At 49.3% G+C, this 22,152-nt stretch overlaps 1 long non-coding RNA gene across 1 annotated transcript in view, besides 3 other annotated features; it reads left to right on the plus strand.

The window, feature by feature from the left end:
* The window catches only part of LINC01237 (long intergenic non-protein coding RNA 1237), a 197,360-nt gene that overhangs the window by 64,592 nt on the left and 110,616 nt on the right, over nt 1-22,152 (plus strand). The window contains exon 3 of the long non-coding RNA NR_110220.1: nt 19,973-20,093. This is a non-coding gene — a long non-coding RNA (long intergenic non-protein coding RNA 1237). The remainder of the gene's footprint in view (nt 1-19,972; nt 20,094-22,152) is intronic.
* Nucleotides 4,058-4,706: an enhancer, noted in NCBI's record as "H3K4me1 hESC enhancer chr2:242892163-242892811 (GRCh37/hg19 assembly coordinates)". NCBI's record gives its function as "activates a minimal SCP1, AML or CMV promoter by ChIP-STARR-seq in primed H9 embryonic stem cells {active_cell/tissue: H9 hESC(primed)}" and the evidence as "EXISTENCE:reporter gene assay evidence [ECO:0000049][PMID:30033119]".
* Nucleotides 4,707-5,354: an enhancer, noted in NCBI's record as "H3K27ac-H3K4me1 hESC enhancer chr2:242892812-242893459 (GRCh37/hg19 assembly coordinates)". NCBI's record gives its function as "activates a minimal SCP1, AML or CMV promoter by ChIP-STARR-seq in primed H9 embryonic stem cells {active_cell/tissue: H9 hESC(primed)}" and the evidence as "EXISTENCE:reporter gene assay evidence [ECO:0000049][PMID:30033119]".
* Nucleotides 19,822-20,329: an enhancer, noted in NCBI's record as "H3K27ac-H3K4me1 hESC enhancer chr2:242907927-242908434 (GRCh37/hg19 assembly coordinates)". NCBI's record gives its function as "activates a minimal SCP1, AML or CMV promoter by ChIP-STARR-seq in naive H9 embryonic stem cells {active_cell/tissue: H9 hESC(naive)}" and the evidence as "EXISTENCE:reporter gene assay evidence [ECO:0000049][PMID:30033119]".

Here is a 22,152-nt window from a genome sequence, read left to right on the forward strand (position 1 = left end):
TGTGTGCGCTTTGTGTGTGCGTGTGAGTGTGCCTGTGGGTGTGTGTGCGTGAGTGTGCATGTGTGTGAGTGTGCATTGTGTGTGCGTGCATGTAAGTGTGCATGTGTTTGTGTGTGTGTGCGTGTGAGTGTGCCTGTGGGTGTGTGTGCGTGTGTGTGCATGTGAGTGTGCTTGAGTGTGTGGCCATGGCCGTGGAGGGAAGTTCATGCCAGTGAGCTGGGCTGTCCCGAGACGCCTTTAATGTCAGGACGCACGGGGTCTGTAGCTCACCCGTTACCCACTCCACATGGGCTTTGCTGAGATAGGCAGCTAACTTCACTTTTTTTTTTTAAATAACAACAACAACAAAAACAGTGTCTCACAATGTACCTTTATTATGCAAAATCAAAACTCACCCACAGTACTAAGGGAGTTTAAGGCTTTCTAAGGAGATGGGAAAGGACAAACCCGCGGGACAGACAAAAAGACAAAAGGAAAATGGAAGCGTGTGTGGGAAGCAGAAGGGCAGCCCCCGGAAGGGAGCACCGAGTGCGGTGCGCCCAGACCCCCGTGCGCCCAGACCCCCATGTCCCTAAACCCCAGGGTGCACAAACCCCAGTGCCTAAACCCCAGAGCGTCTAAACCCCCGTGTCCCTGAACCCCGGACTTAGCTGTTCTTTAAGCTTCCCTATTTCAACAAACTTCCAAACAATTTTAGTGGAGTTTTATATTTACAGGATGACGGAGAAGAAGGCAGAGTCCCGTGGACCCCACGCCCACGTCCCCGTACTGGTGCCTGTGTCGTAACTGACCAGCCCACACTGATCACTGATCCGTCATCATCGACAGGACAATATTTCATTCCGCTTTCTTGGTTTTCTCCGTCTTTCTGTGCCAGCCCCGCCTCTGGGACTACATGTGGCGTTTAGTCACCCGACCCCTGGGGCTGCCCTTGGCTGGACGTTTCTCAGGCTTTCCTTGTTTCTGACGACCTTGAGGGTTTTGAAGGGCTCTGTTAGGAACTCCGCGGAACGCCCCTCTTGGGGTTTGGGTTTTCTCGTGCACCGACAGGACCATCCCTGAGCCCGAGCTGGATCACGTGCTGGGCTCTCCTCGCCCGGCGGTAAATCTGTCCAGAGCTTCTTTCTGTCCCTGTGGACTTGCGGATGCTTCCGTTACACCTCGGGTTACCGCCCAGCGCTGCTCTGTTTTCCCGTTCAAATGGTTCCAGCGTTGGCCTCGGGAGCGCTTTTCACGAGCCCCGTGTCCTCGCGGCGAGCCCCGTCGTTGTGGTGTGTGTTTGTGCATCTCCTCGCTTTCTGACACTACAGGTACTTCCAGTGTCTCCAGCTCCGATCCGTCGGTCGCCCCATGGATCGTTCTGGCCCCGCCCTTTGCCCCTGCAGCCCCACCCCCCACCTCAGTGAAAAACCCACGCCCCCACCTGCCGTCCATTCACGTCGCCGCCCAGATGCAGCGTCCACGGGTAGAGGTTTCAGAATTTCACACGGTGTTTCCGTTTACTGTTTGCACGTGTGTGTGACGCGGAGGCGATGGGAAGCATTCTGTTTATCTGTGGCCTGGGGTGAGGCTCCCCGTGCAGGGCCATCTGCCCGTGGGCCTGCCCAGACCTGGGCTTACCGTCCTGGAACGGAGAAAGGAATCATGAGCAGTGGTTCCGGGAGGCTGGGAGGGGCGAGGCCGGGGAATGGGGCTGGGGCAGGGGAGGAGGTCACGTGCTGTCTTCATAGGCTTTGGTATTTGAGGCACGTGGCTTGTTACTATTTGAGGATAAAATTTGAAAACCGTAGCACGAAGGACTTAGGTTAGACATCGGAAAGCACTTCCTGGCAGTGGCTACGGGGCAGCTTTCTGAGCTTTTCCTAAGCCACCCTGTCACTGTGAGGGGGAATTTCCTCAACCTGCCCTCCAGCGACAGCCTCCACCTCATGGCCAACCCCCGAGGGCGGCTTCCGGGGCTTGCCCTGCTGTGGATGAGGCCAGCTTTGCTCCCCACTCTCTCTGGACTGCGTGGGGAGTGACTCCTGGACTGTCTGCAGCCTCCTGGACCCTGGCTCCGAGTCAGATGAGGGTTCTCATCTGGTTCTTGCAGAGTCTCCTGCTGAGCCTGGTCTTCTGTCCACACCTGGGTGGTGGAGGGCGCCCCAGGAGCCTCTTTCTCCCCCTGCATGGGAGGCCGGGTCTGCTCAGCCAGCGCCCTCACCTGCGGTCGGTGAGCTGTGCACGGGGAAGCAGAGCCTGGCGGCCACGTCGGCCTCCTGTGAGAGGGTCGAGGGCTCCAGCCCCGAATGGGACTTGAGCAGTGCTTCGGCGACGTGTCTGTGTGTGTTCATGTGTGTGTCTGTGTGGTGTGTATGTCTGTGTCTATATGTGATTGTGTGTCTACGTGTGATCATGTGTGATTGTGTCTGTGTGATGTGTGGGTCTGTGTGTGATAATGTGTAATCGTGTGTGTCTCTGTGTGTGTCTGTGTGTGATGTGTAATCATGTGTGTCTCTGTGTGTGATTGTGTCTGTGTGTGATGTGTAATCATGTGTGTCTCTGTGTGTGTGTGTGATTGTGTCCGTGTGTGATCATGTGTCTGTGCATAATGATGTGTGTGTCTTGGTGTGTGATGGTATGTTTGATTGTGCATGTGTCTGTGTGTGATTCTGTGTGTGTGATGGTGTCTGCACATGTGATTGTGTCTGTGTGTGTGATGTGTGACCGTGTCTGTGTGGCTGCACGTGTATGTGTCTATGTGTGTATGTGTGATGGTGTGTCTGGTGTGATGGTGTGTGATTGTGTGTGCGTGATGGTGTGTGAGTGACTGCATGGGTGTGATGGTGTGTGTCTGTGTGTGATTGTGTGTGATGGGGTGGATGTGTGATTTTGTGTGATGGTGTGTCATTGTATGTCTGTGTGACTGTACGTGTGTGTGAGGTGGGTGAGCAGGGCTGCGGGGCACAGGGCAGAGGAGAAAGGTTGCATGTGGGGGTTGATCCCTGGCTGGAGGAGGCTGGAGAAGCCCTGGTGGGCAGGGACGCGGTGGCCTCTCCGGACCCCTTTGCTGCAGCATCACAGAAGGAGACGCAGTCTCTGTCCAGCTTGTGGGCACGGAGCTCCCACTCTGGATCTTCTCACTCTTCGATGCTAAGGGGGCGGCTCCCGGAGGGTGGGCTGGTTGCCAGTAGAACCGGTGCGGGTCAGCCCGGCGCACCCAACCCCACCCCACCCGAGAGGGAGAGGCCCGGATGGGGTCAGTCCCCAGAGGCCTGTGGCCTAATCGGTCATGTCTGGAACCCCATAAAAAACCCCAAATGAGGGTCCAGGGGCCTGCATGGCAGTGACCATGGTGGTTCCCGGAGGCCCCCCAACCTCTCTTTTGCCTGGCGTGTGCCTCTCCCAGGCGGGTGACAGTGAGGCGCCTCCACGTCCTGGGAGCTGTTCTGCTGAATCTGGAAGCCGGGGGCCAGGGGTGCTCCATGTACCGTGGGCGTTGGAAGTGGGGGCGTCTTGTGGGCTCAATGCCTGTGGAGAGTGGGTGAGCCCTCCCTGGGCCGGGTGGGAGTTGAGGACTTACTGGTGTGAGAAGAAACCTGTACAGCCGCGGTCAGGGGGCCGTGGGGAGAGCAGCACCGGGGACCCCACCTCACAAGGGGGACGGAGGCAGAGGGAGCCAGGGGAGGCAGGAGCCCTGGCTTGGGGTGTGCTTTGGGTGAGGTCCTCTCATCTCTTATGTGCCCCCTCATCCTCGCTGGCCCTAACTCCAGTTCCCAAATTGCTCTGAGGGAGGACTAAAGTTCCAGAAAGGCTGTGTGAGCCAGCCACCAGTGCCAGCACGAAGCTGCGGGGACCACAGCACCCCTTGTCCTGGGAGGTGCCTGCTCCCCCACAGCCTGTCCCCCCGAGAGGAGCCAGGCTCCCCCCATCTCCCATGCCCTTAGAGGAGCCACGCTCGCCCCAACCCCCATCCTTCCTGGAAGGAGCCGTGCTCCTCCTATCCCCCGGAATCCTCCTTAAGAGAGGCCATGATCCTCGGTCCTCCTGTCCTCCCTGAAAAGGGCTGTGCTTCCCCTGTCTCCATCTTTCCTGACCACAGGTGCTCCACCTGGCCTGTGCTGGAGGCTGGGAGGGTGGGCCTAAAGGGGGAGTCTGTGTGAGGGAAGCGTGTCCCTGTGTGTGTGTGCATGAATATGTGCACACATGCGGCTGTGTGGGTGTGTTTCTCTGTTTCTGTGTGCATGGGTCCGTGCATGAGCACAGGTGTGCATGTGTGTGTCTGTGTGCATGGGTCCGTGTGCGAGCACAGGTGTGCATGCGTGTGTCTGTGTGCATGGGTCCGTGTGTGAGCACAGGTGTGCATGGGTCCATGTGTGAGCACAGGTGTGCATGTGTGTGTGCACACGTGTCTGTGTGCGCATGCTGTCTCAGGGCTTGTCTGTGCGTACAAGTGTCTTTCTGTGTTTCATGGTTGTGTGTGAACACACGTGTGTGTCTGCATATATGCCTGTGTTTTCCCGTGTCTGTGTGTGCGTGTGTTTGGGGTGGGTAAGGCTCCATTGTTTAGGACGTGTGTGACCTGCCTCGCCATCTCCCCTGCCATCCTCTGGGTCATTCTTGCACAACAGTGACCTGCTGTTTGGAGCCGAATGGGCACAGTGAATAATGCGTTTCATTTATTTTCACAAACCTGTGGTTGCAAAGCCAGCGTGAGACGCAGGTGAGGCCGTCACACCCCTCGTCCTGGCGGAATCCACGCCTCCTTGGGCCCCTGCTGCCAGGACCCCACACCTCTTTAGAGTAAATAAACCTTGGCGTAGGGGCAGTTTACGGAAACGAGAGAATTGTGTAACCATCGACCCTGTGGACAGGTTTGACTCTTGGGTTTGAAGAACCACGGTGACGTCTTCCTGATGCCGCTGCCTCCTCTTGTCAGTGAAGGGAGTGGGACTCGCCGGAGAAAGAAGCGAAGGCTCCAGCCCCGGCTGGATGAACCCTGCAGCTGGTCCTCACCGTCTCGGGAGGCAGCTCCGGCTTCTGTCCACTAGGTGGAGCGCTTGCTGTTTGCGATGAAATCGTGGAGCCTTGAAAATTCCCAGGCTGGCGAAAGGCTAAGGGGCATTGGGGGTCAGCAGGCGGGGCCCGTGCTGGTTGGAGCTGCTGGGGCTGAGATGGAATGGCGATGCCATTGGGGTATTCCCTGTGGGAATGCAGCTGCCGTCCGCAAGCCCCCGCGACCTTTCTCCAGGCAGAATGTGGAGCCCCGAGTGGGGTTAGGGCCGTGTGCTGCAGGGCGGGGCCTCGCCTGGTCGCGTGGCAGCCTCGAGGTTTGTTGCAGGTGATGGGGTGAGGAGCAGCTGGGCCCCACTAGCTCTTGGCCGCATTGTCCCTCCTTTCACCCCCAGAAGTTACCCCTGCACTGTAAACCCCATGGGGCATTGAGCCTCCTATTTTCTTCTCCTGCTTCACAAGTTTAGAGTGTTTGCTTAAATGCAATGCTTAAAGCCGCCCAGATGTTTGAGAAGATAAGTTCAGTGAGAAACAGGAGGCTTCACCTCAAAGCATTTAAGGCTGCTGTGAGAAATTATCCCCATCCTTAAAAGCCTCCAGATGTTTGAAACTCCTGTTTTGTGTAAAATAACAGCAACAAATAAGTAAAAACAAAAACCTCCATACCGACTGCATTCCTTTCAAGTGTTTAACTGTTTAACTTCAAAGTCAGAAGTGCCCTAAACTCAAAAACGGCACCAACAACTACTTGAGTGGGACTCTTTTGTTTGCAGTCATCAGGAACTCAATTCAAGCTGATAAAAGCCAGAAAAAGAATGTCATTGAAGGGGCAGGGGTTGTTGATGTATGCAATTACTAACTGCAAAGGGGCATTCAGGAATGGGTGGATCTAGGGGCTTCAGTGGTCTCTATCTCTTACCCATGCCTTCCTCTGAAATGAGTCCCCCAGATTTCTCCTCCTGCCAGCTCCTGGCAGCCACGGTCATTTCTTTGCAGCCTCAAGTCTACTCTGAGATTTCCTCTTCCCAGCAGTTCAAACAGGAGCCTCTGATTGAGACGCTGGCACTGGCTGGGGCCTTGTGCCCACCTCTGAGCCCATCACTGCAGTGGGGCATTGGGTGCTCTCATCGGCCAGGCCTGGGTCACGGGACCATCTTGGAGGGCAGGGTGGGGCAGCCCACGGAGCCCAGGCTGCGTGTCTCCGGAAGAGAATCGAGGTGGGACTCGGGAGGGAAGGGTGCTGGGCAGGGAAGGTAGGGAGTGCTCAGGAGCGCTTCAGCGGAAGGACCTGGAAATGGCTCTGGCTGTCTGTGGTCAGTTTCCTGCTCCTTGCACATCCAGAGAAGGAAAGGACTTTTTTTCTTGAGATGGAGTTTCACTCTTGTTGTCCAGGTGGGGGTGCAATGGTGAGATCTCGGCTCACTGCAACCTCCGCCCCCTGGGTGTGGGTGATTCTCCTGTCTCAGTCTCTGTGGTAGCTGGGATTACAGGCAGATGCCACGATGCCCAGCTAATTTTTGTATTTTTAGTAGAGACAGGGTTTCACCATGTTGGTCAGGTTGGCTTCCAACTCCTGACCTCAGGTGATCTGCCTGCCTCAGCCTCCCAAAGTGCTGGGATTACAGGCGTGAGCCACTGCGTCCAGCCAGGAAAGGACTTTTTTAAGCTTTGGATTACAAGAATGGGTGATGATCTCTCTCGGCTTGCCTGGCATCATTTTGAGACAGGGTTGTCTGTTAAACCTTTTTAAATACAAATAAGATGCATATTAACGTTTAAGGAAATCTAATGTTTTCCACGATATGACTTTGAGAACCTTAAGCTCTTGCGTGTATGTTTAGCGGGGACGGGACCGTGCCCTTTGTGGAAGCCCAAGCCTCACTGTGATGACATCTGGAGGTGGGCCTTTGGGAGGTGATTTGGGTTAGATGGGGTCATGAGGGTGGGGCCACATGAGGGGATTCGTGCCATCCTAGGAAGAGGAGGAGACCAGAGCTCGCTCTCCACCGCCCTGGCCAGGAAGCCGCCCTAGCAAGAACCCGTCCCGGCCGGCCCGACCTCAGACCCACAGCCGCCAGATTGTGAGCAATGGAGGTCTGTGTGCGCCCCCTCTGTGGTGGTGGTTACAGCAGCCCCTCAGACGGAGAGTGAAGAGTGTTTAGCTGGTTCTCCGGGAAGCAGCGCCTGAGATACAGGCTCAGGGCTGCCGGCTCAGTCGGGAGTGAGGCTCAGGGGAAAGGGGTGGGGGAAGAGCAAGGTGGGTGCGGGGGGCAGGCGAGGGAGAAGGGGGGAGAGGGAGGGGAAGGGGAGGGGGGAGGAGAGGGAGAAGGGAGGAACCGAGGGGACGGGGGGCTCAGCGCACGGGGGCATCTTCCAAATGGCCACATAAATGAGTGCAATTCCGGGTCCACCCGAAGGTGCGGGGGGAGGTTCCTCTCCCGGTTCCACCTCACACGGGATGCTGTTTCCCCGCACGCGGCTGCTCCTGGAGGGTGAGAAGGGGTTGCAGTGGTTCCGCTCAGGGCCAGGTGGGGCAGGAGGCCGGACCCCTGTCTTGGTGGACGCTCGGCCGCAGCCCTCTGTTGTGGCCTCAGCAGCGACTCCAACCGAATCTGTGGCCAGAGGCTGTGGGGAGTGGAAGCTGGAGGACCCAGGCTCGAGGGCGTCTGACCCAGGGAGCCCGCAGCAGGCAGGTCACCCCGACTTGTGGCCCCGTGATGCTGCAGGGACCCCAGCTGTGGGAAAAGCCACGCTACTGTCCCCCAGAGCAGAGGACCAAGTGCTCAGCTGCACAGCCCGGCCGGGGGTGCTCGGCCGCCGTGTCTGCAAAGGCCTGGAGCAGATGTACCCAGGCCCCAGGGAGGAGCCGGAGGTGCCCAGGCTGTGGGGAGGAGCCGGAGGTGCCCAGGCCGGGGGGAGGAGCCAGATGTGCCCAGGCCGGGGCTGTCCTGAGGTCTCCGCTGGCCCGTCGCTGTCCTCTCTCTCCTGTGCCGGGGTGGCTGCCCTGCAGGCTCCAGTGAATATAATTTTCTCTTGGCTTAGCTGCATCCTGCAGTTTTGATGTGTCTTTTCTTCATCACCATTTATTCAACACATATCCAAATTCTGCTATGATTTCTTTTGGCCACTGGATTATTTAGAAGCATATTCTTTAATTTCCAGGAAGTTTAGCATTTTTTAGTATTTTTTTTCACTTCTAAGTTTACTGAGGTCAGAAAATATGCTCTGAATTTTAAATTTAGATCCTTTGAAATTATTTGAGGCTTTCCCTATGTCCCAACATATGGAAATTTTGGTGAATGTTATGTGTACACTTAAGAAGAAGAGGAAGCAAGCCATTTTGGATACAAGGTCTGAGGCAGAACAATTGGGCCGCTCTAGTTGATTATGTTGCTCAGGTCTTCCTTATCCTGACTAATTTTATGTTATCCCAGTTACCGAGAAAGGCACGTGACAATTCCCCTATGCTTGTGGATTTTTCTCTTTGTATTTGGCTCTCATTACTCTTAGTAGGGTGCTCCAAGGTGGGATTTACATGTATCCCCCTTGGGATTTGCTGATCTTCATGAATCTGTGGATTAAGGTCTTCCAACAGTTTTCAAAGATTCCCACCCATTATCGTTTCAAATATTTCGTCTGTCCCATTAACTCTGATCTCTCTCTGGGATTATGCATATCTCAGACCTATTGACTATGTCTCATCTGTTATTTTTTTCCTTTCTGGATTTTCTATTTATTTTTTCCCATTCCTTTCATTTGAGTATTTTCTATTACTTCTGTTGAGGTAGTTTATAATGACTTGCATTTATGTTTACAAATTCTATCTTCTGCTGTGTTCAATTTTTATTAAACCCACCAATTTCATTCTTAATTTCAGATATCATACTTTTCAATTCAAGAACGTCTGTGTTATTATTTTAACGTTTCCATTTCTTTGTCGGAATCCCTCATTTTCCCATCTCTTGTGACTGAGCTCATTCATCACAGCTGTCTTTAAGGTCCTTCTCTGGCAACACCATTTTGGATCATCCGTGGGTCCCTTTCTGCTCTTTCTTTCCCTCTTTGTTATCAGTCACATGGTCTTTATTCTTGACACACTCTGGTCATGTGTACCGAATGCTGAAGCTGGTGAATTATCATAACAGCAGTGCCCTGGTGGTTCCAAGCCATGTTGTCTTTAAGCATAAAGTGCTCACCGTTTCCTCTTCTGAGGAATGGATTGAGGCCTGATCATTCTCGGTGGAGGATGGAGCCTGGTGAGAGTGAACTGCACTTTCTGTTGCACTGAGGCTCACCCAAGCTTGTCTTGCCCCTCGGGGTGGCTTCCCAGGGCTCCCAATCCAGAGCCTGGTGGCTCCCTGTCTCCCCAGTACTGGAACAAGCAGGACAGAGAGGCAGGTGCTCAAGGGAGGGAGACATGGGTGTTCAACGGGGAGAGACATGGGGGTGTGGAGGAGAGAGGTGTGAGTGTGAGATGTGGTCATGCACAGGAGGAGGCTGCCCTGCTGCAGGACAGGCATCCACCTCCTCTTGATCCTCCCCTTTCCAGGGAAGAATGGGATCGACATGTCCTCTTTCTAGGGATAGGAGGGGGTGGAAATCTTTTTGACGCTGCAGGAAGCTTAGAGTGGCCATCCCTTTGTTCGCCTGGGGTGAGGGTTTTTGCGGAAAGGAGACATCAAGTGTCTTGGTGTCCGATTGATTGGACACGCTATTGGCCTGTTATTTACAGTACTTCTTTACATCTACCCCTTAGGATCATTTTTCTCCTCCCCATGGGTACGTGTCCTCAACCTTGGCAAAATAAACTTTCTAAAGTAACTGAGACAGGTCTCACAGCCTCAGGAGGCCCTGATAACATGCTGAAGGCAGTCGGAGCACAGTTTGGTTTTATACATCGTAGACACGAGACATCAGTCAGCATATGTAAGATGAACATTGGTTTGATCTGGAAAGACGGGAAGACTGGAAGCAGGGAGGGGGCTTCCAGGTCATAGGTAGATAAGAGACAAATGGTTGCATTATTTGGAGTTTCTGATGAGCCTCTCCAAAGGAGGCAGTCAGATATGCATTTATCTCAGTGAGCAGAGGGGAGACTTTGAAGAGAATGGCAGGCAGATTGGCCCTAAGCAGTTCCCAGCTAGAATTTTCCCTTTAGCTTAGGAATTTGGGGGCCCAAGGTTTGTTTTCCTTTCACACCTGTTAGGCATTTGGGCTGTTTCTACCTTTCGTCGGCTGTGAATAATGCTGCCATGAACATATGTGTAACTTCTGCCATGAACATATGTGTACCTGCTGCCATGAACATATGTGTACCTGCTGCCATGAACATACGTGTATCTGCTGCCATGAACATATGTGTACCTGCTGCCATGAACATACGTGCACCTTCTGCTGTGAACATACATGTATCTGCCACCATGAACATATGTGTACCTGCTGCCATGAACATACGTGTATCTGCTGCCATGAACATGTGTACCTGCTGCCATGAACATGTGTACACACTTTGAGGCATGAGGAAGAACAGTGAGCAAACTGCTGAACCGTCTGCCTTCAGGGGCCACACATGACAAGCCTGACCCTAGACACCACCAGCAGTGCACACGTGAGGATGATGGGCAGACATGGCAGGGTCAGGGCGAGAGTGGCAGTGGAGGGCAGGGAGAGTGGCAGGGAAGCCTGTGAGGGGCAGATGTGGAGAAGGAAGGCAGGGGTCTGCAGCTCTTGGGGGGTGCCTAGGGGCACTCGATGTGAGGGGCAGCTAGGACGGGAGGTGGAGAGTGTCGAGGGAGCTGGCCCAGGCAGTGGATGTCATCAAAGACCCCCAGGAGCACAGGTAGGGCTCACCCAGGGCTGGCTGGGCAAGGGCCTGGCCACATTGTTTGTGTTGGACAGTGACTTGAAGGCAGCTGGGCTGGGGAGCTTCACAGTGGAACAGACAGCCCTGGCGTACCCTGGTGGAGGCTGTGGCTCTGGGGAGCGGGGGCGGCCTACGGGCTTGGTAATGGAGCACATGTGGCTTTCCCAGCTTGGTCTTGAGTTGAAAGGCGATGAGGAGTCCAACTCAGGAAGCCACAGTCATTGACCAAGTCCTGGCTGTCTGGGATACGGTAATGTGGCCCACAGCTTAGCGTCACTGCACTCCAGCCTGGGCGACAGGGTGAGATCCTGCATGTGAGTCTGTTCTTGCATTGCTATAAAGAAATACTGAGGCTGGGTAATTCATAAAGGAAAGAGATTTAATTGGCTCATGGTTCTGCAGGCTGTACAGGAAGCATAGTGCCAGCCTTTGCTTCTGGGGAGGCCTCAGGGAACTTCCAGTCATGGTGGAAGGCAGTGGGGAGGCAGGATTACGTGGTGAGAGCCGGAGGGTGGGTGGGAGCAGACTCTTAAACAACCGAAGCAGTGGGGAGGCAGGATTACATGGTGAGAGCCGGAAGGTGGAGGGAGCAGACTCTTAAACAACCGAAGCAGTGGGGAGGCAGGATTACGTGGTGAGAGCCAGAAGGTGGAGGGAGCAGACTCTTAAACAACCAGCTCTCCCGAGAACCAACCGAGCAGGAACTCACTCATCGCCCAGGCCGTGGTGCTAAGCCATTCACGAGGGATCTGCCCCCATGATCCAACACTTCCCACCAGGCCTCACCTCCAGCACTGGGGAGCACATTTCAACGTGAGATGTGGAGGGCACTCATCTAAACCGTATCACTCCGTCTCTAAAAAACAACAGGAGTTTATTCTCGCTTTTGGAGACCAGAAATCTGAGATCAAAATGTTGGTGGCCTCACTCCCTTCCCAGGCTTGAGGAGAGAAGCCTTCCTGCCTCTCTTAGCTCCTGGTGTCCCGAGGTGTCCCTGGGCCTGTGTTTTTGTGCCTGCATTGCTCCCATCTCTGCCTCTGTTCATGTGCCCTCTCCACTTTCCTCTCTCTTCTCCTGTTCTGTCTGTGCCAATATCCCTCTTCCTTTCTCTTATAAGGACACCAGTCAGTAGATTTAGGGTCCACCAGGGCAACCCAGTGTGATCTCATCTCAACATCCTTCACTTAATTACATCTGCAATGACCTGATTTCCAAATAAGGTCACATTCACAAGTACTGAGGTGTATTAGCGCGTTCTCATGGTGCTATGAAGAAATACCCAAGACTGGGTAACTTATAAGGAAAAGAGGTTTAATTGACTCACAGTTCTGCATGGCTGGAGAGGCCTCAGGAAACTTACAATCATGGCAGAAGAGGAAGCAAGCATGTCCTTCTTCATATGGCGGCAAGAAGGAGAAGTGCCCAGCAAAAGGAGGAAAAGCCCCTTATAAAATCATCAGATCCATTAGGCATGGTGGCTCAGGCCTGTAATCCCAGCACTTTGTGAGGCTGAGGTGGGCAGATCACAAGGTCAGGAGTTTGAGACCAGCCTGGCCAACAAGGTGACACCCTGTCTCTACTAAGAGTACAAAAATTAGCCAGGCATGGTGGCGTGCACCTGTAATCCCAGCTACTTGGGAGGCTGAGGCAGAAGAGTCACTTGAACCCAGGAGGTGGAGGTTGCAGTGAGCCGAGATTGTGCCACTGCACTCCAGCCTGGGTGACAGAGCGAGACTCCGTCTCAAAAAAACAAAAACAAAACAAAAAAGACCCATCAGATCTCATGAGAACTCATTCACTATCATGAGAACAGCATGGGGGAACCACCCCATGATTCAATCACTTCTCATGACACACGAGGATTATGGGAACTACAGTTCAAGATGAGATTTGGGTGGGGACCTAGCTAAGCCATATAGGGTTAGGACTTAGACATATTTTTGGAAGACATAATTCAACTCACTACTCCAGTCTTCCCTAACTCGGCTATATATCAGACCCTCTTGGGGATCTTATAAAGGTTACATGTTATTATAATTTCTGTTCCAGAATCCCAGTAGGTTGCTCGGTGCCTGGTTCTGACGCTATCCCTCAGAGCCTGTGGAAGTTGCTGATGCCAGGATGCAGTTGCTCTCCTAAAGCAGAGTGGGAGATCCTGAGGAAGGGAGCCTCCTGCTTGTGCGTCTGCGGTAAGAACGGCTGCACAGACGCACGGGAGATATGAGGAAGGGAGCCTCCTGCTTGTGCGTCTGTGGTAAGAGCGGCTGCACAGACGCTCTGAAAGTCCTTATGCCTCTGTGTTGTTCCAAATAAACTCACTTATCCTGAGAGCCGCTCCCTTTGCTGCTCAGGATGGCACAATCTGGTGCCAGAAATAGGACCAGAAGGAAGATGGCCTTCAGAAGGAAGTGACAATTCTTGGAACTGCTGTGTAGTGCCCGCCTGAGGCCTCTGAGCTCTTCCTTTCTGCGGCCCACCTCTTCTGCCACGTGCATCTTCTCCCAGGCTGAGAGCCCTCCTTCCGGCAGAAGCTTGACTTCGCTCGGGATCTGCCTTGGACCAGGCCACCTTAATATAGGACCTTGCGTCCGTCCTGGGACCCTGTGAGGCCGGGTTGTCCTTTCTGGTCCTGGGGAGTGCTCTGGTTTGTTTGTTTCTGTGCGTCCATAAGTGATTAAGTGATTTGGCTTTTTTTACTTCTGCTCTCCCTGCTTGTTTCAAAACATCTTTAAAGAGCAAATATCACATACAGCGGTTATATGAATTTCTTTTTGCTCTCAAAAGTGCAGTAGGAGACAGAATGGGATTCTCAAAGTGTAAGGCACGCCCGGCTTTCGGGGGCTCAGCTGGTCGTACATTCAAACATTGTGGCCCTTTGTGCACATTTTAAGCCCATGGACAGATGACACCAAGGGTGATTTAGAATTCCAGTGGCCATTTGAGAATCATTCCAACTCCCCAGACTGGTTTCCTAGAACTATATTAGAAAATTGCAGCTATTGGGTTAAACAGTCTGAATGAGGCGCGTATTTTTAGTTGCCATCTTGAGGCTTCAAAGTGCATTCAGGACTTTAAAAAGGCCTCGTTGCAAAATACTGTCTCCACACCAGCCAAGGCACCTCCTTCCCAGAGCCCTTCCTTCCCCTTCCCACAGCACATCCTCCTCCTCCTTCTCTGGCTGACCTCCCCACCCCCTTTATTCAGAGCTCCCCAGCTTTTCTCCACAAACACCAATTCATCTTTTAACACATGGAACCTCTAGGGAAGTTCTAGATGAAGGAGATAAAGTAATTAAATATGCTATTCTGGCATATTGACAATTTAGTTAGAATCACTTGAAAAACAGCAGGCTTGCTTCTTTTTCAAAGCTACCCATGCTGATTGCAGACATAAAAAAATGTTTTCTCCCCACTATTCCTTAATGGGCTCTACCCTGAAGTTAGCAATCTAATCAAGAAACAAGCAAAGTTGAAAAGACTGTCTATCAAACTAAACACTTTCTGGCATTTAGCTGGCTATTTTGAAACTGTTTTGTAAAAACTCACGTCTATAAAGGAAAACAGCTTTTGGCTTCCAGAGGCAAAAACTATGAGAATAAATGAGTGAAGTAAGATGTAATTAGGATTCCCCTGCTGCCATCTCTGTGCTGGTAAGAGTTGTGTCCAGTTAAGAAAATTAATATCCTTCTTTAGATGGAAGGAAAAATAGAGCCCTTCCTCTGCTACTTCTTCATTGCTTTTAGCAGAAAAGAATATTTGTGTTAAAGAAGCATCATCTGGAATGGTCCTTCCTGACTCCTTCAATGGCCAGTTTTGATTAAGAAGGAATTAAAGCATAATTGTAGGTGAATGTAAATGACTTTAAAGTTCATCAACTTTTCAATGATAGTTGTTTTATAAACTGTGTCTACTTAAAATGAAGTCCAAACATATTTTGGGGGAAACTTGAAGCCTTAACGTGAACTTATAGATATTCATAAAATGAGTCATTTTCAAATAAGATAAAACCCACTGCTACAACTATAATTAAAACAAAACCAAAAAACACACTGATTTCAAAGCTGCCTGGAGGTTTTTTATTCTCACCAGCCCTAGCTGAAATGTAAACATCCAAGAAATTAACTTCTACACCCATCGGAGACCATAAATAGGGGGGAAGGAAGCAAGCAAGCAAGGAAGGAAGGAAGGAAGGAAGGAAAGGCAGCCTTCTTATCTTCAAGGATGAGAAGCTGAAGCAGACAGAACATTGTACAGACCTTGTTAGATAACTCGTATGTTTTAAGCCCCCTGGAATGATTTAGTGAATTGATAACGGCCTCTCTGGGGTCTTCATTTCCATACGGGGGCTCCCATGCTATGTAAAACCTGTATGATGCTTCTCTCCTGCTAGTCTATCTAGCGTCCAACTGGGACGCTAAAGGCTGGGATATCCCACTTTGTCCTCTCCCCGGAACCTGCAGGTGGGATTCCAGGACACCTGACACAGGGCAGAGGCAGGAATTCTTCCCAAAGTCAGCTCTCTCACGCCACTACCTGGAATGCCTGGTTGAGAAGGTAAAAGGTTTTCTTGTCCCTTTTTAAATTTGGATCGAAAGGAGAACATTGTAAGAAGTGGTTCTTTAAATGGTGACTCTTGTGAATTTGGTGCTGGGTGCCCGTTGCTTTTTGGCCACAGCTTCCCAGAAATAGCCGCTGTTTTCTTTGTCTCTGCCTTTTGTGGGGTTTGCCCTAAGGCCTGTTTTCTGTCTTGAGAACTTGGTCATAACCAGTGAGGATGCTGTCTCCGGTCTCTGCCCACTGGGAGATCCGAGTTGCTAGGCATGCTTCTGATGGCGGTCACCGGCCAGGACCGAAACATGAAGTGTCTCTGTTCGACCACATCTGCTCTCAGGAACTTACCTTAACCGCCTCACCATGGTTACCTTGTTACCAGTGAGCATCTTTACTTCCTTAGCCTATCTTCAAGAGAAATTTTGGATCCTGAAGGGGGCTACATCCTTTGCATCCTTTCTGGGGACCTCTTGCATCCATGGTTAAGCCATACAGGGCTTACTAGTTTTGAATCACAGCGGAAGTAGGTTTACTTTTGGTTTGGAAGTTGGTTAATATTTGGAGCATTATAGGAACTTTTTGTTTGTTTGATCTTCTGTCCTAAGCTAAAATGGAACTAGAAGGGAGGAAAGAAAGACTTCAATACCACCGGGAATGTTTACTGTTGTCCTGGTTAAAAGCTGATAATAAGATATTTGAAAAGGGACTTTCTTTAGAGCTCCCTGATGAGAAGTCAGGCTAACTGGAAGCTGATGCTCAGGCTATAACTCGTGGTGGCTCTGTGTTTTCTCTGCCAGACTCTGCTTCTCCCCCTGGGAACTTCTCAGCCAGCCGAGCCATCCTTTCCCAGCACTGCTGACTGTGTGCTGTGCACATTTTTTGATTGGCGTGATTCTTGACTGTTTACAAATGGAGCAAATAAAAGATCTTTAAGGTCTTTCCTACTTAGTAAGAGGCATTGTTTAAATTGACTTAGAAATAAATGAGCATACCTACAACTGTAAAAAAAAAAAATAGGAACTAACCCAAATGTTTTTAAAGTTCACTTGACCTGGGGTAAACTTTGGTGAATAAAGGTGAGTTTAGATTTGCCGGTTTGATAAAAGCAGGTGTCTTCAGAGTCCTCAGCGTTAAAGATGATGCAGACACGCAACTTTCATCTCTGCTAAATGTTTAATTGTAAAGCATGAGTCTGACCTAAAAACAAGTGTGCCCGCAGAAGTGAGGCGGCACGCCCGTTACTCCTCACGCAGGAAGCGCAGCAATGAAACAAAACGCCGTGCGTTTAACGCTTCGGTTTCTTGATTTTGAGATGACCGCCTGACAGTCACATGCTGTAAAAATGGTTAATAGGAAAACACCTCAAGATGATGGATGCTTAATATCTCAGGAAGTTTCTCAGGAGTAACACAGACAAGTTAAAATACTAAAACATTAATCGCTGAACATAAGTGTAAGCTTATTCCTGGCTTCGAAAGTTCTGTGGAAAGATAAAATTTGTTTGGGTCTATTAGAAAACATTGTGTCTTGTTCTACATTGAGAAATTGTTCTATGAGGAAGCACGTTTCTGAAAAATTATAAAATATGTATTCATAAAATGTTATCATATAACAGTTCAAAATTGCTTACTTCCTAGGTTCCACTAAAAATTAAGGGCACTAAGATTTAAAAATTCTAATTAATGTGTGTAACTCTATATACAAAGTATGAAAAATAATGATACAATTTTTGGTATTTTTGGTAAAAAAATTACAAAAGACATGAGGGTTTTTTTTAGAAGAAGAATAATTTTGTCTAATTTGGAGGTTATTTAAAGGTTGCTTGAAAATGCAAATTTTGAAAGGAAATAGAAACAAGGCAGAAAGGAACCAGTAAATGGGACAAAAAATAAGCAAAGAAAGTTATATCTTTGGTAGGGAAAGTTGAAAAGAAAAAGAGAATAAAACTTTTTTTTATATGAGAAAATCTTGTGTGGCCAAAATTATAAGGGAAAAAAGAGTAAATTTTTATCCTAAGTTAGAATGATTGGTTGTTCCAGTATAAAAAAGAGGAAGTATAGAACGAAACTGAAGGTTTGAACAAATTCTAGAAGGTTTGAGAAAATTGCAAAAGGTTTATGGAAGATGAATTTTATGAAATACATTTTGTATGTGATCAAGTTGACTAAAAATAGAAGGAAATAATTTATAAGTCTTTCTAAAATAGAACATTAAGATCTAGGCTGGGCGTGGTGGCTCATGCCTGTAATCCCAGCACTTTGGGAGGCTGAAGAGGGCAGATCACTTGAGGTCAGGAGTTCAAGACCAGCCTGGCCAACATGGTGAAACTCCTTCTCTACTAAACATACAAAAATTAGCTGGGTGTAGTGGCGCATGCCTGTAGTCCCAGCTACTAGGGAGGCTGAGGCAGGAGAATCGCTTGAACCTGGGAGGCGGAGGTTGCAGTGAGCTGAGATTGCGCCACTGCACTCAAGCCTGGGCAACAGAGTGAGACTCTGTCTCAAAAAAAAAAAAAAGAAGAAGAAAAAAGATCTAAAGTTTGCCGACATGAAACTAGAATTTGGTCCTCTCTGTTAATACGACAAGATTTTCTTGTAGTATTGATCTACCCCTGATTAAAAAATAATCAGGGTGTTCCTTGCCTTTTTGGTAACTGTCGCAGGTGAGTGGTGACCCTCTGGGGCTGGTGGTGTGGTGAGAAGAATTTACCAAGACAGTTGCAGATAAAGAAAAGCAGATTTATTGAAGAAAGCATGAAAATACATTGCGAGAGTGCAATGGGCAAGTTAGCAGAGAGGAGCTGACTGCAAGGAGGCGAAGGCTTGGTGAGGGTTTTATAAGACAGTCTCTGTGCTGTGAGCTGAAGAGGGCTTTGACAGTGCTGATAACGCCAAGGTTGCCGTGAGCTAACTTGTAATTTTCCCATCAGTCAAGGATCTGGTGATAGCTGGAAGACTGAGTTATTTGTGCAGGAGGGTTATGTGTTCTGGACCATGAGAAAGGCAGACTTAAGGCTTATGTGCCTTCTCTTTTTGCTTCCTTCAGTCCCGCCAGCCCCACTCCCCCTCCGTAATGAGGCCTCCACAGTAACTGGCCTAGAAAAATTTATCAAGATAATGTCGTGTACTTTGCGCTGTCTTTATTAGGTTTTTGATTGCTTGGAAAAATTCTTCCTTTAAAGAGGTAGGGTTTTTTTTTTTTTTGTCTGTGTAACTTTATTTGCTTTTAAAGTATTTTAATTATCACTATAGTTAAATGGATGACTATTATTTCACAGTGACCTATTATCCTGTTTTAATTAAGTGTTTTAAACCTTTGACATTTTTGACAAGCTTTCCCAAGATCAAATTCTAAATTAAATCTTTTTATTCTTACCTTGTAAAAGAGATATATTAATTAAGTTTATTTGACATGCTAAATTATTAAATATGTGGGAAGCATTGTAAACAAGAAATGATGTTTAACCTTTTTTTTTTTTTTTTTTTTTTTCTGAGACGGAGTCTGGCTCTGTCACCCAGGCTGGAGTGCAGTGGCGCGATCTTGGCTCAGGGCAAGCTCCACCTCCCGGGTTCACGCCATTCTCCTGCCTCAGCCTCTCGAGTAGCTGGGACTACAGGTGCCCACCACCACACCCAGCTAATTTTTTTGTATTTTTAGTAGAGACGGGGTTTCACCTTGTTAGCCAGGATGGTCTCGATCTCCTGACCCCATGATCGGCTTGCCTCGGCCTCCCAAAGTGCTGGGATTACAGGAGTGAGCCACTGCGCCCGGCCTTAACCATTCTTTAAGTTATATTTGTATGGATACAGTATTAGTGTATTCCAAAATTTGTATAAAATTCTTAAATATCTGATATATCTTGGTATAATGTTATCAGTAGTAGTTCTAATTATTGTGTTAAAATGTTCTATGCTATGGAAATAACCAAAGTTCCTTGTCAATTTCTCATTATAATGAACTCTCATCAGACTTTTAACCATGACCCGTCTATGTTTTTGTCATCCATGTAAAGATCCAAATCCAAATTATTGTTTTGATGTTTCTCTAAAAGCTTTTGCAATCAACTACAGTCCAAATTGCTTCTAATGAAATGACTTTGGCAGTCCTCTTGAACTCTGATTGCTGATACCTTTAAGATCATACCGTTGGAGAAAGTAGATATTTTTGGGACTCTGTTGAAGAAACTGATGGGTTCATAAATCTGCTAACCTAGATCAAGCAGAATGAGAATTAATTACATGGGACTGAATGAATTGACGAAAAGGAATGATGGGTTTTTACAGTTTTAATTTAAAATATTTTTGGTTCTCTATTTTAATGTTTTGTTTTCCAGGTTTAAGGAAAATAGTTTTCTTAAGCTATCTATAATTTACACCAATTTGGTAAAGTATAACTTTGTGAACAAAAATTGAAACATAGGCTTCTTTCCCTACCTTATCTCTCCAAAATTTGTGAACTATTTGTGAGTATGATTATGTTTTTGGCAATACAGTCATTTGTGTAAGTTCAATAAGAGCCTGTTCTCTTCACAGCAGCATACAATGGAAAATATTGGTTATATTACCAGGTTTTGACTGGAATGCCAGGCTTAACGTTGCTCAGAAGTTGCTTCTATGAGGACGTCTCCCAGCAGCTGTCAGTGTTTCCAATGAGTCATCGCCAGCCCCTGCAATGAGCCTCTCAGGCTGGTAAGTTTTGTTTCAGAACCGCTTCCTCAAGCTTCTTTTGCCTTTAAAAGCTTCCTCTTGCCCCAGCCTCCCAGGGAATGCCTGTGGTCTGTCATGGCTCACACATCCTGGTTGATAATCCACTGCTGTTCTCCACGGAATGCCTTCATTTTGAGAGCTGCTCGCTGCCTGTTGTGGTTTCAGTTGACGGCCCACCGCTGTGTGCAGAGTTCACCAGCCGCTGTGGTGTGCAGTGCAGCAGCTGACCTGCCTGCCTTGTGGTTTTCTAATCCCATTGAGGGGACGTCTTAGGTGTTCTCACCAAGAATGCACAGCAACAGTGCTGGGTGGGCCACATCCTCCCTCACGTTTGGTGCCACCAGTTTTATAGATTTTGGCTACTGTGGGTGTGTGTGGTGGTTTTTGTTGGTGTTTACGACGCATCTTCCTGGTGCTCGAGTCTGTCGAGCACTTTTTCTTGTGTTTATTTGCCATCATTTGGCGAAGTGTTCAAATCCTTTGACCGTTGTTTCACCAAGTTGTTTTATTATGAAATTTTAGGGGTTACTTATTCTGGATCTCAGCACTTGGATAAATATTTGAGAATATTTTTTGCAGTAAGTGACATCGTTTTATGTGGATGAACAGAAGATTTTAATTTTGATAAAGTCTAATGGATATATGTGATGTTAGTGTAATTTGAATGCATACATATGTATATTTAATGCATTCTTTTATGATGATTGTGCACTTCATATGAAATGCGGCAACCTTGCCTTGCCATCCCGGAGGCCTCTGCTTCTCTGATCTGTGGGTGTCACAGGCACTTCACTTACTCACACCTTATGGCACGGTTTCTTTTGCTCTAAGCCTGCACGTGTGTTTTAAAGGTAATTTCTTCCGTTAGAGAAGTCGCGTAGGCTCACCCTGCTATTTGCCATTTCTGGAGCTCTTTATCTCCTTCTTCATATCTGCATTTCCCTCTGGAATCATTTCCATTCAGCCTGAAGAACTCTTCTGCCTGGGACTCCACCTTCTTTTCTAGCAGCTGGGCTCATTGGGAGCTCTGTCCTCTGGTGGCTCTGGCCAGGGGACGCTGGGTTTTCTCTTAGGGTTTCAGTTGGCCCGTGTGGTGCCAATGTCAACGTGTCTGTAGGCCAGAGCCAGCAATGAGCACCCCCTCGGTCTGGCCCTGAGCTCCAAGGCCCCACTCCCACGGGATCTTGCTGCCAGGACCCCACTCTCTGCATCTTGTCCAGAGTGTCGAGGAGGGCAGGGTCCAGCGGGATCTCTCGGCCCTCCCAGGGCTGAGTCTGTGCTCTGACCTTTCCTGGGAGGCACTCAGGGCCAACAGAGCAACAAGGGGCCTTTCCCTGTGGCTCCCTCCCCTCTGGAGAAAATGGGTCAGACCTGGGTTTCTCCATAGTCACTGTCCCTAAAATGAAGCCGGGCTGCCAGAGGCGGTTGCATCTCCCGGCACCAAGACCCCAGAGTCCCTGTGAGAAAGAGGACCAACGACGATGGAAGCCTTTCTCTAATGTGCGCACAGCCAGGCCGCTCCTCTGAAGGCGCTGAGCCGCCTCTAATCACAGCGCCACACTGGCCACAGGTCGCTGGGTATAGGATGAACCCAGCTGTGAATAGGATGCATTTCCTGGGAGGTTTCTGTGAAGTTACTGAACTGCCAAAAGGTAAGCAGTTTTAATTGATTTGTGAGTCTTCAATTAAGCACAGCAGAATGCTAATTAAATATTCTCTGTTCTTTAAATAGAGAATGCTTTAAATAATTCAGCACAATCTTTGCATAAATCACACCATTCAGCTGAGGTGCCTGTCAGCAGTCAAGTGATTGAGAGCACAAACTGTCCCAAAGACACAGCCCCCTTCCCCCTGGAGACGCGCACAGCCTGCAGAAGAGATGTCACCTGATGCAGCGTTGTGGTTTAAAAACTCATTATGGGAAGCATGAGGCTGGACCCAGGGGACCCTGGAGGTGATGCAGGGGCTTTGGCAGCCTGGAAGCTGTTGGAGGAGGGGCCCTTGGTGGAAGTGGGGACAGTTTGAGCCTCCGGCCTCCAAT

This window comes from Homo sapiens, chromosome 2, assembly GCF_000001405.40.
Source record: "Homo sapiens chromosome 2, GRCh38.p14 Primary Assembly".
Lineage (NCBI taxonomy): Eukaryota > Metazoa > Chordata > Mammalia > Primates > Hominidae > Homo > Homo sapiens.